General features: G+C 42.9%; 1 protein-coding gene across 19 annotated transcripts in view, besides 2 other annotated features; it reads left to right on the forward strand.

Annotated features, from left to right (window-relative positions):
- Positions 1–12,737, forward strand: part of THRAP3 (thyroid hormone receptor associated protein 3) — a 97,721-nt gene that overhangs the window by 48,751 nt on the left and 36,233 nt on the right. For 15 of the 19 annotated variants that reach the window (XR_007065302.1, XR_007065301.1, XM_047436227.1 and 12 more), the window contains one exon: positions 2,995–3,097. The exons of 2 other annotated variants lie outside the window; for them this stretch is intronic. The gene's annotated coding sequence lies outside the window, so the exon portion shown is untranslated. Of the gene's footprint in view, positions 1–2,276; positions 2,581–2,994; positions 3,098–12,737 lie in introns of those variants that run through there. 2 more of the 19 variants (XM_047436232.1, XM_047436254.1) reach the window with 2 other exon arrangements.
- Positions 1,223–1,282: a silencer, noted in NCBI's record as "silent region_659". NCBI's record gives its function as "represses an Ori minimal core promoter by ATAC-STARR-seq in GM12878 lymphoblastoid cells {active_cell/tissue: GM12878}" and the evidence as "EXISTENCE:reporter gene assay evidence [ECO:0000049][PMID:35858748]".
- Positions 4,312–4,468: a silencer, noted in NCBI's record as "fragment chr1:36726300-36726456 (GRCh37/hg19 assembly coordinates)". NCBI's record gives its function as "represses an EF-1alpha promoter that drives an FKBP-Casp9 reporter gene in an ReSE screen in K562 erythroleukemia cells {active_cell/tissue: K562}" and the evidence as "EXISTENCE:reporter gene assay evidence [ECO:0000049][PMID:32094911]".

Consider the following 12,737-nt stretch of genomic DNA (forward strand, 5'->3'; position numbering starts at 1 on the left):
GCTAATTTTTTGTATTTTTAGTAGAGACGGGGTTTCACCATGTTAGCCAGGATGGTCTCCATCTCCTGACCTCGTGATCCGCCCGCCTCGGCCTCCCAAAGTGCTGGGATTACAGGCATGAGCCACTGCGCCCGACCCTGCCTGGATTATTTTGGGCATTATCTACTAATTTCTTCTATTTGTGACCCATTAAAATCTGTTCTCCACGCAGCAGCGAGCATGTATCATTGCAGTTTGTGGTATTTTGAAACATAATTATGCTCCTATTTTATGCTCTAAACACTCCAGTGGCTGCCCTCATTACCCAGAGGAAAACCAAAGTCCTTACTTTGATTGCAAGGCCCTGTCCATTCAGCTGTGTTTCTGACCTGATCTACCAACAGCTCATTGGTAACCGTTTGCATTGCAGACATTCTTTTTTTTTGAGACAAGAGTTTCGCTATTGTTGTCCAGGCTGGAGTGCAGTGGTGCGATCTCGGCTCACCACAACCTCTGCCTCCCAGGTTCAAGTGATTCTCCTGCCTCAGCCTCCTGAGTAGCTGGGATTACAGGCACCAGCCACCTCGCCAGGCTAATTTTTTGTGTTTTTAGTAAAGACGGGGTTTCTCCATGTTGGTCAGGCTGGTCTTGAACTCCCGACCTCAGGTGATCTGCCCGCCTCGGCCTCCCAAAGTGGTGGGATTACAGGTGTGAGCCACCGCGCTTGGCCAACATTGCAGACATTCTTATTTTTGTCTCTTCCTCAGACAGTCAGGCATGTTTCCTCCCCAGGGTCTTTGCATTTGCTGTTTCCTCAGATAAGGCCCAGTATACTCTTTTTCTTCCGTCTCTGCTCAGCTGTCTCATGAGAGAGGCCTTCCCTTAATGCGTGATATAAAATTGTATAACTTTTACTCCTCCAGGTGCCCTCATCTGCTCACTAGAATGTCAGTTCCAGGCATGAAGGGACTTTTAAATTATTGAACCTCCAGTGTTTAGAATAGTGCCTGGCATGTAGTCAGTACTTAATAAATTATTTGTTGAATAAGTGGACAATTAGTAATGTGTAGAAGGGAAGAGGGTCTATTGTGGAGTCTCCTTGCTAATACACTGCTGTTTGGCCAAAGGAGGTTCAGGAGATAGAGGCTGACAAGTATGCCTGTGGCTGGCCAGATGACATGCAGGACAGGCTAGGCAGGAGGAGGGCAACTGTGGTGGCAGGGGGTGACTCAGGGTTTCAGGTGTCTCTTCGCTGTCACAGAGTAACTAAAGGCCAGAGCCTCAGATTTGCTTATTCACTCATCGCAACAATGGGGAATTGAAGACTTGTTGGAATGATAAAATTCTTGCCAATATCCAAGAAGAGGTTAATTAATAGGAAATATGATGGAGTAATAAAATGGGAGATTTATGTGTGTGTACTTTTGCCATCTGGTTAGAATTAGAGGGAAAGATGGATGTATTGGAATAGATTGTGTTTTTTTGTTGTTTTGAGACAGAGTCTCGCTCTGTCACCCACGCTGGAGTGCAATGGCACGATCTCGGCACACTGCAACCTCTGCTTCCCGAGTTCAAGGGATTCTCCTGCCTCAGCCTCCCGAATAGCTGGGATTACAGCCATGTGCCACCATGCCCGGCTACTTTTTGTATTTTTAGTAGAGACATGGTTTCACCATGTTGTCCAGGCTGGTCTTGAACTCTGGACCTCGTGATCCGCCCGCCTCGGCCTCCCAAAGTGCTGGGATTACAGGCATGAGCCACCACGCCCGGCTTGGAATAGGTTGTTTTTTAAATTCAACATGTTACAGCATAAGAGCAGTTTGCAGTCCTGTAGCAGACATGGGATTTCCCTCACTAGCTAGGCAGAGCTGACTGATGTGAGCCCTCTGTGCCTCTGGAGTGAGGAATCAGGGGAAGAAGTTTTGGCTGATGTAACCTAGGCTGAATTAGAAGAATACATAGCGAGAAGACATGAAAAAGTATTTTGAGTGAGTTTTTTAAAGTGCTATATTTGTACTTACATTAATAAAGAAACACATACCGACATTGTTATTTGGTAAAGGATCTGAATACTAAGCCTCATCTGGATAAAACAGTATTATCCTGTTAGTAATTTTTTTTTTTCTTGAGGCGAAGTCTCACTCTGTCCCCCAGGCTGGAGTACAGTGGCGCGATCTCGGCTCACCGCAAGCTCCACCTCCTGGGTTCACGCCACTCTCCCACCTCAGCCTCCTGAGTAGCTGAGACTACAGGTGCCTGCTGCCACGCCTGGCTAATTTTGTTTTTGTATTTTTACTAGAGACGGGATTCCACCATATTAGCCAGGATGATCTCGATCTCCTGACCTCGTGATCCGCCCGCCTTGGCCTCCCAAAGTGCTGGGATTATAGGCGTGAGCCACTGCCCCTGTAATAAGAATAACAACAAAGTTTTGATAAGGCAGGAGTGAGGACATCTAATTACCTACATGAGCTTGCTGGTCTTGGAACTTGTTTTTCCTGTTTGTTTTGGAAAACGCTGGACATAGCTTTGATGTATGACCATGTTCATAGATCTGGGAATAGACAACTGGAGCAGAAGGGAATTTTTGTGCTTTTATGGGTAGGTACGGAGAGTTACTTTACCTTGAAATGCATTTGTTAAATTCATTTTAATATACTTCTGTTCATTGCTTTCTTATTTTAAACATCTGATTTTTGTCAGGTTCACCAGGTTGAGTTTTGTGGAGCTTGTGAATTAGTCTTGCATAATGAAAACCTTAGCACCTGAAATATTGCCAGTGAAAGTATCAGGTTACAGTAAGGAAGGCTTTTGCTTTCCATACTGTAGGAGGTTAGATGAATGAAAACCTGTCAGACAGAGGCAGACCATCTCATACTTTGAGAGAAAAGCTTGGGTCCTTTTGGAGTAAAGCTGAGGGCTAAAGTAGGGTTTGTGTTTATAGATTTTGAGCATCAGTAACAGAATCTGCATTTGGGTAGCCATTTTATCACTACTTATTTTCTCTCATTTCAGAAGTGTATGCTGACTTGTAAAGTGAAGAAGCCAGTGGTGCTGCGGGTGTTCTTTTGGGGTAGTGTCTGGGATCCAGTACGAGTTGAATCATTGTTCAAATAAGGTAAAAGCATGGTGGTAAAAGAAACTAATAACTTCACTAATTTGTAAAACCAATCTTACGTTAAGAATTGATTATTTCGAGACCAGCCTATGCAACATGGTGAGATCCTGTCTCTACAAAAAATAAAAAAATTTAACCAGGCCTGGTGATACACATCTGTGGTCCCAGCTACTTGGGAGGCTGAGGCAGAAGGATAGCTTGAGCTCAGTAGTTGGAGACTGCAGTGAACCATGTTCATGCCACTGCACTCCAGCCTGGGTGACAGCAAGACCCTGTCTCAAAAAAAAAAAAAAGAAAAGAAAAAGAATTGATTATCCAGATGATTCGTTAATGGAAGTTCTGGGTTCTTATGAAACAGTATTCGTTTGAAAAAGGCTGTCGGTAAACTTGACATCTGTAATCATTAATATTTTGGGAAGCAGTCCCTTTTCATGCTTATGTTACTTGGATATATACTTGTTTTAATTAAAATTGGGGGCCAGGCGTGGTGGCTCCTGACTGTAATCCCAGCACTTTGGGAGGCCAAGGCAGGTGATCACTTGAGGTCAAGAGTTCGAGACCAGCCTGGCCAACATAGTGAAACCCCGTCTCTACTAAAAATACAAAAATTAGCCAGGCATGGTGGCAGGCACCTGTAATCCCAGCTACTTGGGAGGCTGAGGCAGGAGAATCACTTCAATGCAGAAGGTAGAGGTTACAGTGAGCCGAGATCTTGCCACTGCCCTCCAGCCTGGGCAACAGAGCAAGACCTTGTCTCAGAAAAACAAAAACAAACAAAAGCTGTATATATTTGCAAAAACACTATAGTAGACATACCAGACCATCAGCTCCCTAGGGCTCTTTATGAAAAACAGCAGTCCTTCCCCACTCCCCTTCCCAGCCCCTTAGAAGCAGTCATTTTCAACTCTCCAGTTCCTTTTGGTATATCTCTCTAAATAATAAGCCTCTTTTGCTTTACAGTGTTTGTTATTATTTATTAACTTCACTCCTTAAATAGTGGTCGTTTTTGGTAGGCTTACCTGACCACCTCACATGCCAACATTAATTGTCACTCTGGGGCCAGGCACCTGGCTCACGCCTGTAATCTCAGCACTTTGGGAGGCCGAGGCGGGCGGATCACAAGGTCAGGAGATCGAGACCATCCTGGCTAACACGGTGAAACCCCATCTCTACTAAAAATACAAAAAATTAGCCGGGCGTGGTGGTGGGCGCCTGTAGTCCCAGCTACTCTGGAGGCTGAGGCAGGAGAATGGTGTGAACCCAGGAGGCGGAGCTTGCAGTGAGCTGAGATCGCACCACTGCACTCTAGCCTGGGCTACAGAGCAAGACTACGTCTCAAAAAAAAAAAAAAAAAAGGCACTCTGGTTATAATATAATTTTAGTCATGGCAGTATCATGGTTTACAACATTATTATGATTACGTAGCGCTTATTCACAGCCCAGTCATTTTACATGTTGTGTTTACTTTTCCTTTTTTGTACAACTATTTGTTTTCTGTTTTTAATAATCTTTTTGTCTATTTTGCTTAGTTTCTATGTCTTTATCAGTAATTTCTCCCTAAACTCTAACCATAAGTGTAAATCTTCCACAATACATTTAAGCATTTTGGCTATATTATAAATTTTATCTTGGGCTAAGCGCAGTAGCTCACACCTGTAAGCGAAGCACTTTGGGAGGCCGAGGAGGGCAGATCACTTGAGGCCAGGAGTTCGAGACCAGCTGGCCAACATGGTAAAACCCCATCTCTACTAAAAATACAAAAATTAGGCCGGGTGCGGTGGCTCACGCCTGTAATCCCAGCACTTTGGGAGGCCAAGGCGGGCAGATCACGAGGTCAGGAGATCGAGACCATCCTGGCTAACACGGTGAAACCCCATCTCTACTAAAAATACAAAAAAACTAGCCAGGCACGGTGGTGGGCGCCTGTAGTCCCAGCTACTCGGGAGACTGAGGCAGGAGAATGGCGTGAACCCGGGAGGCGGAGCTTGCAGTGAGCTGAGATCGCGCCATTGCAATCCAGGCTGGGCGACAGAGCGAGACTCCATCTCAAAAAAAGTAAAAATAAAATAAAAAATTAGAGCCATTTCTGTAAGCAGTTCATATGCTATTCCAAAAGGAAATCCCAGAGAGACGAACTACACTGATCACATGTATCTGGACTAAGTTCTGGTTGAGTGTGTGGATCTACCTGAGGTGGAGTTGGTGTCTCTAGATAGCTTCGAGTAGTATTTTAAATAATTTTAAGTGGAAGCAACCGGTCGGGTTCTCCTTGATTTCTTTTGTAAACTTAGATGATTAGTATGATCCAAAATGGTAGTAGATCTTTAAATCATTTTTGGTCTCTTACGTAGAGTTGTGTTTGTATTTAAGACATCTCCGCTGCTCCCCCAAACTCATGTGGAGAGTTACTGCAACAGGAAAGGCTTAGTGGGTAGAGACTAGAAATGGCAAGTATAAATGACAAATCTAAAAGTGACTGGACAGTACTAGATTGGGTTCTCAATTTGAAGATATAATCATCGTTGTTCTCAAGGACAGTGCTGCTCAAAAGAAGAATGTGAGCCACATGTCATTTAATACATTTTAGTAGTCACATTTAAAAAAACAGATGAAATAAATTTGAACGATATGTTTTATATAATTCAATATATCCAGTACATTCTTATTTCAACATATAAGTGATATAAAGAATGGTGAGATATTTTACTTTCTGTTTATACCAAGCCTTAGAAATCCCATGTTTATTTTATACCTGTAGCTCATCTCAGTTCAGATCAGCCACATTTCACGTGCTGAGTCTACATATGTATTGGATGGTACAGTTCTAAGAGTTCATACTTCTGAAGGAACAGATAAACTAGTATGATTAAGTTAATGAATGATGGCCTGCCACATTCCAAACATAATACAAAACAGTGATATAGTAATATAAAACAAAATAAATCTAACACACACGTTTTTTTCCTCCTCTAAACCTCCATGTGATCATCTTTGGGAAGATGATTTGATCTTAAAAAGACCATTGTCTGTAAAAGCTGTCAAACAGCTTATTTCTCCTACTGTAGTTCTATCCAGGCTTTATGTAGAACTCTTTGTAAACAGTGGATGTCTGTATATCAGTATGGGGGTGATCTGCAAAGAATGTCCATGGCCCACTGGCTCTGAATCCCATTCTCAGTTTCTTCAATTAGAATCTTGATGGATGGATATTTTTTTAAAGTTCTGTAGGTGATTACAGTATTTATCAGTGTTTAGCCCAAGGCTTTAATAGTAATGCTTCTATTTTATTTTATTTTATTTTATTTATTTATTATTATTATTTTTTTTGAGATGAAGTCTTGCTCTGTCTCCCAGGCTGGAGTGCAGTGGCGCGATCTCGGCTCACTACAAGTCCACCTCCCGGGGTCACGCCATTCTCCTGCCTCAGCCTGCCAAGTAGCTGGGACTACAGGCGCCCGCCACCAGGGCCGGCTAATTTTTTTTTTTTTTTTTTTTTTTTGTATTTTCAGTAGAGATGGGGTTTCACTGTGTTAGCCAGGATGGTCTCTATCTCCTGACCTCGTGATCTGCCCACCTTGGCCTCCCAAAGTGTTGGGATTACAGGCGTGAGCCACTGCACCCGGCCTATTTTATTTATTTTTTGGAGGCTCTGTCGCCAAGGCTGGAGTGCAGTGGCTTGATCACGGCTCACTGCAACCTTGACCTCCCAGGCTCAGGTGATCCTCCTGCTTCGGCCTCCTGAGTAGCTGAGACTATAGGCACAAGCCACCATGCCCAGTTAATTTTTGTATTTCTTGTAGAGATGAGGTCTTACTATGTTGCCCAGGCTGGTCTCAAACTCTTGGGCTCAAGTGATCCACCCGCCTTGGCCTCTCAAAGTGCTAGGATTTCAGGGGTGAGCTACTGCACCTGGACAATAATTCCATTTTTAAAAATAGTTAAGTGTCATGATTGGCTGCTTAATTTAGCTTAGAAAAGATTTATCATAATGAGAGCTGGAAGGAAACCACAGGTCGTTAGTTAATATAGATTATAGTGTCTTTATTAAGTTAGGAAAGCTGAGAATTTCTCTTAAGAATTGAGAAGAAAATATTCCCCAATGGTAACATACTCATTTAAAATGGGGGCTAAAATTACTGTTACTGTCCCTGAGAGACATAGGAGAGGAGCCTCTGGGGTGAATTGAATATTTTTTTTAAGCCGCCAGCTGTGCTATTCATTTTGTTTCCCCAATGATTAATTGCATAGATGATCCTGAGCTTAATAGACACGCATTGACTGAATTCTCAGAGGAGTATCTCAAGTTGCTTACACTGGGGATGTTTTGATGAAAAAGTTCTAAGTGAACTTTTAGCTTGCTGTTGATTTTCCCTGCTAACATCCAGCATCGAAGAGATTTGTCTTCCAAAGGTGAATGTGACCTTTTGACTTAGGTCTTTCTTGATAATACGACCTTTCCTTCTAGCACACCTCTTCAGTGTGACACATGCTAATTTAGCCAGGAAAGATATAAAATGCTTTATTGCTGTGTAGGAAGATACCTGATCACTTATTACTTGTAGGCAGATTTGGTTTTTGTTTGTTTGTTTTTTTGAGACGGAGTCTCGCTCTGTCGCCCAGGCTGGAGTGCAGTGGCGCAGTCTCAGCTCATTGCAAGCTCTGCCTCCCAGGTTCACGCCATTCTCCTTCTTGTAGGCAGGTTTTAATAAATAGCAAGAAAATAGAATCAGTTATGAAATCTGTTTACTCCCAGGGAAGTTCCTAAATCTCTCCCTCCAACCACTCTGGTTCTGTGGCTAAACATAGTTTAAGGTGTTTACTCACTTGTGTGTCAGGCACTGTGTATGTGCTTCCTTAATTCTCCTGGCAGTCCTGTAAGGTGTAGGTCACATTTGGAAGATGGAGAGAGTTAAGTATTTTGTCCAGGAATGGGTGGCAGAGCCAAGATTGAACCCAGTTCGTTTTTGCTACCAAAGCCTCTACTTACTGCCGAACCTGGCCCAGTATTACAAAGTGACTTGTCCATTTAGGACTGAGCATTTTAGAATGATAATTTGCTTTAGTGTATTTCCTCACCTAACACCCACCTTAGTGCCCCTCTTGAAGTAACACTGTATTATGGACATATGGACAGCCCAGAATGGAACGTGGATTCTAGTCTCAGTTGCTTATTGTGTGTTGAGATTATGCGCAGATTTGCTAGTTATCTATCTCTTTTGGTCTTAACTGTGAAATATTGGTAACATTACCTTTATCTTTTTTTTTAATATCTATTTGAGAATAGTTGAAGATTTATTGAAAATTGTGAAGATATACAGAGTTTATATTTGCTAGGGCTGCTATAATAAAGTACCACAAATGGAGGCTTCAACAACAGCAGTTCTATTGTCTCACAGCTCTGGAGGCTAGAAATTCAAAATCAAGGTGTCGGCAGGATTGGTTCTTCTAGAGAGCCATGACAGAAGGATCTGTTCCAGGCCCCTCTCCTTGGCTTCCCTGTGTCTCCGCATATCAGGTTCCAAATTTCCCCTTTTTATAAGCATCGTATACCTCACTAAAGACCCTTAACTTCAAATGAGGTTACATTCTGAGGTACTAGGGGTTAGGACTTCCCATATATGATTTGGATGGGTAGATGGGTCACAACTGGACCCATAACAGTTCCTATGTACCCCATGCCCAGTTTCCACTGTAAATAACATCTTACATTAGTATGGTACATTTGTCCCAATTAATGAACCAGTATGAAACTTTATTATTAACTAAAGTATCATCCTTGTTATGAGCACATAAGAAAACTTTAGTTCAAAGAGAAGCAACTTGGAAAAGGTCTTACTAGTAATCTTTTTGACTTTACTCTGGTGCCTTTTTACACTGTTAACCAATACAAACGAAAACCTCCAAAGTCACAGTATGAGCCTGAAAAGATTAAAAAATAATTTTCTACTTACAGTTAGGTGTACAAGACAGGAAACTTTTTTTTTTTTTTTTTTTTTTGCTGCATCTAGTGCACATGGCATGCATGGCACAGTAAGTGTTCAGTAAATCTTGATAAGATGAGCAGAAGAATGCCCTTGGTACTTGTTGGGCCATATTTTTGAAGCATAAACTCCAATTTTACCAAATAACTGTAAAGTATAGCAATTGTGAAATCTGCTTTAATGAGAAAGCAAAAATTATTTATTTTTTAAATTTTAAGTTCTAGGATACATGTGCAGAAAGTGCAGGTTTGTTACATAGGTATACATGTGCCATGGTGGTTTGCTGTACATATCAACCCGTCATCTAGGTTTTAAGCCCCGCATGCATTAGCTGTTTGTCCTAATCTAATGCTCCCCATCCCTTTGCCCCCTACCCCCTAAAAATTATTTTTAAAATTGTGAAATGGTCCAGATGTGGTGGCTCACACCTGTAATCCCAACACTTTGGGAGGCTGAGGCGGGCGGATCATTTGAGGTCAGGAGTTTGAGACCAGCTTGGCCAGCATGGTGAGACCCCGTCTGTATTGAAAATACAAAGATTAGCCAGGCATGGTGACATGCACCTGTAATCCCAGCTACTCGGGAGGCTGAGGTAGGGGAATTGCTTGAACCTGGGAGATGGAGGTTGCAGTGAGCTGAGATTGCACCACTGCACTCTAGCCTTGGTACAGAGTAAGACTCATTCTCAAAAAAAGAAAAAAAAAAAAAAGCCAAGCATTGTGGCGTACCTGTAGTCCCAGCTACTCAGGAGGCTGAGGTGGGAGGATTGCTTGAGCCCAAGATGCAGAGGTTGCAGTCACCTCTGCAGTAAGATTGAGCTACTGCACTCCAGCCTGGGCAACAGAGCCAGACTCTGTCTCAAAAATGACAAACAACAACAACAACAAACAAGAAAAATTCCAGTTCCTGTGTGGAAATCATCCTTGAGATAAGCAGTGCCCCTCTGCCTGCTGTATTTTGGAACCCATGGAAAATACATTTCTCATTGAATTTTCTCCACCTCTCTAAGTTACTGAGAAGTAATGTGGTCCTGTTCCTTTAAAAAGTAAATGATGGAAGGAGTGGAATTTGCCATATGATATGAGCAGAAACTAATTCACTCGCTGAAAAGGGGGAAGGAAATGTGATCTCTTGCTGGTTCTGATGGAAAGAAGCCAGCAGCACAGTGTCCCTCACCCCAGTAGGATTCTGTAGCCAAGCTCTAACTTGCTCTGGAACCTCTCATTTCCAAGTGAGGTTGGTACTACCTGAATTTGCATTGTCTCAGATGCAAGTGATAAGTTTAAGTACAGTCAGAGAAGGTAGGTGGCCAAGTCCCTGGACAGTTGATACCTATTTTCAGGCAGATTGGCTTGTTGTAAAAAAGGAGTAGATTATAATACGAATATTTATTTATTTATTTATTTATTTATTTATTTATTTATTTATTTTTGAGATAGAGTTTTACTCTTGTTGGCCAGGCTGGAGTGCAGTGGCACGATCTTGGCTCACTGCAGCCTCCGCCTCCTGGGTTCAAGCAATTCTCCTGTCTCAGCCTCCCGAGTAGGTGGGATTACATTTGCATGCCAACACGCCCGGCTAAATTTTTTTGTATTTTTAGTAGAGACGGGGTTTCATCATATTGGTCAGGCTGGTCTTGAACTCCTGACCTCAGGTGATCCACCCGCCTCGGCCTCCCAAAGTGCTGGTATTACAGGCGTGAGCCACCGCGCCCTGCCTATAATAAGAATCTTAAATAATTTCTTCTGCAATTAATTTCAGAGTCACAGTGTATGTGTATGTGTGGGTGAGGGTGATTCTCCTTTAAAAGCAAAGTTTCTTTACCACCTAATTCCATTTTTTAGGACATGGCTGAAGTAGTAAAAAAGGAATGTTCCCCTCTATTCGTGTATAATTTTTAAGTTTTTTTGTCAGCAATACAGCTGTTCCGAATCATCATTTTACTGATGAAAAAATAGAGGTAAAAACACATGCACCAAATAAGAGTTTGTGGTTTATTCAGTAGGAGCCTTAGTTTTGGTAAATTTCTCTCATTTAGGGACCCTGAACACTTGTTTGGCAGCGGTTATGTTTTTCAGCTTCTTACCTACTAGTGTAGTGAGATCAGTTCCACCCAATTCCAGGGGTATTGATACTTTGTGGGGAGAAGAAAGAGGGAAGAAAGCAATTAGTAATAGTCAAACAGGAGGCCAGAGCAGATTCTTTTGTTATTTGTTAACTGATACTAGGGCTTGAAAGGAGGTAAGTCAAGAAGAGGTAGGATGGGCTCCCTGCTGGATAGACGGGAGCCCATATTCCCCGCACCCACTCACAGAATACGGGGCATCCGGGGGCTTTCGGAGACTGAGTTCTGTTAGAAAAGGTCTGTTTTACAACTGGGAATCCAAAACATCCAAAGTGAATAGCAGTACTTTTAGAAAGGAATTACCCTAGGCCGGGCACGGTGACTCACGCCTGTAATCCTAGTACTTTGGGAGGCCGAGGCAGATGGATCACTTGAGGCCAGGAGTTCAAGACCAGCCTGGCCAATATGGTGAAACCCCATCTCTACTGACAATACAAGAATTAGTTGGGTGTGGTAGCACGCAGCTGTAATCCCAGCTACTCGGGAGGCTGAGGCAGGAGAATCACTTGAACCCAAGAGGTGAAGATTGTAGTGAGCCGAGATCATGTGCCACTGTACTCCAGCCTGGGCAACAGTGCGAGACTCTGTCTCAAAAAAAAAAAGAAAGGAATTACCCTTTTTCTTGCACTGAAGGTGACAGAAAAAAGGTCAGCATCATTTTTTTTTTTCTGTGCAGTTTAGTATGAATTTTCTGAGAATCAGATGACTCAGTGTGTTTTTTATCATCCAAAGAAATACTAGACTAGAAAAGGAAGAACAGAGATTGACATTTTGGACATTTTGGAGGGCTTGGAATTGAACCTCCATGGATAAGAGCCGGTCCAGTATTTGTTACATTGGCAGTGTTACACCAGGCTTGCCATTCCTTAATTGCTGTACTTTAAAGTACTTCAGAGGTTATTTTGGGGGAAACTGTTTTGTTTTTAAGGATAGACCCACCTTGCTGTGTCCTCCAGGCTGGAGTGCAACGACACAGTGGTAGCTCACCTGCAGCCTTGAACTTCTGGGCTCAAGCGATACTCCTGTCTCAGCTTCCATAGTACGAGGGACCATAGACACAAACCACTGTGCCCAGGAGAGAAACTTCTTAATGACTACTTAGAAAAGTAATCCATGTGTCCAATATGAGTTAATTTTTTTTTTTTTTTTGAGACGGAGTCTCGCTCTATCTGTCACCCAGGCTGGAGTGCAGTGGCACATTCTCAGCTCACTGCAAGCTCCACCTCCCAGGTTCAAGCGATTCTCCTGCCTCAGCCTCCCGAGTAGCTGTGACTACAGGCGCCCGCCACCACGCCCAGCTAATTTTTCTATTTTTAGTAGAGATGGGGTTTCACCATGTTGGCCAGGCTGGCCTCAAACTCCTGGCCTCAGGTGATCCACCTGCCTCGGCCTCTGAAAGTGCTGGGATTACAGGTATGAGCCACCGCGCCCAGCCGAGTTAGTTTTTTAATCTGGAGAAAACAATACACAGAATTGGGTATTTTGTCTTGGCAGTTACCTTGACAAGAGCTAAGGACCAAGTATTGTTTTTCCT

This window comes from Homo sapiens, chromosome 1 (assembly GCF_000001405.40).
Source record: "Homo sapiens chromosome 1, GRCh38.p14 Primary Assembly".
Lineage (NCBI taxonomy): Eukaryota > Metazoa > Chordata > Mammalia > Primates > Hominidae > Homo > Homo sapiens.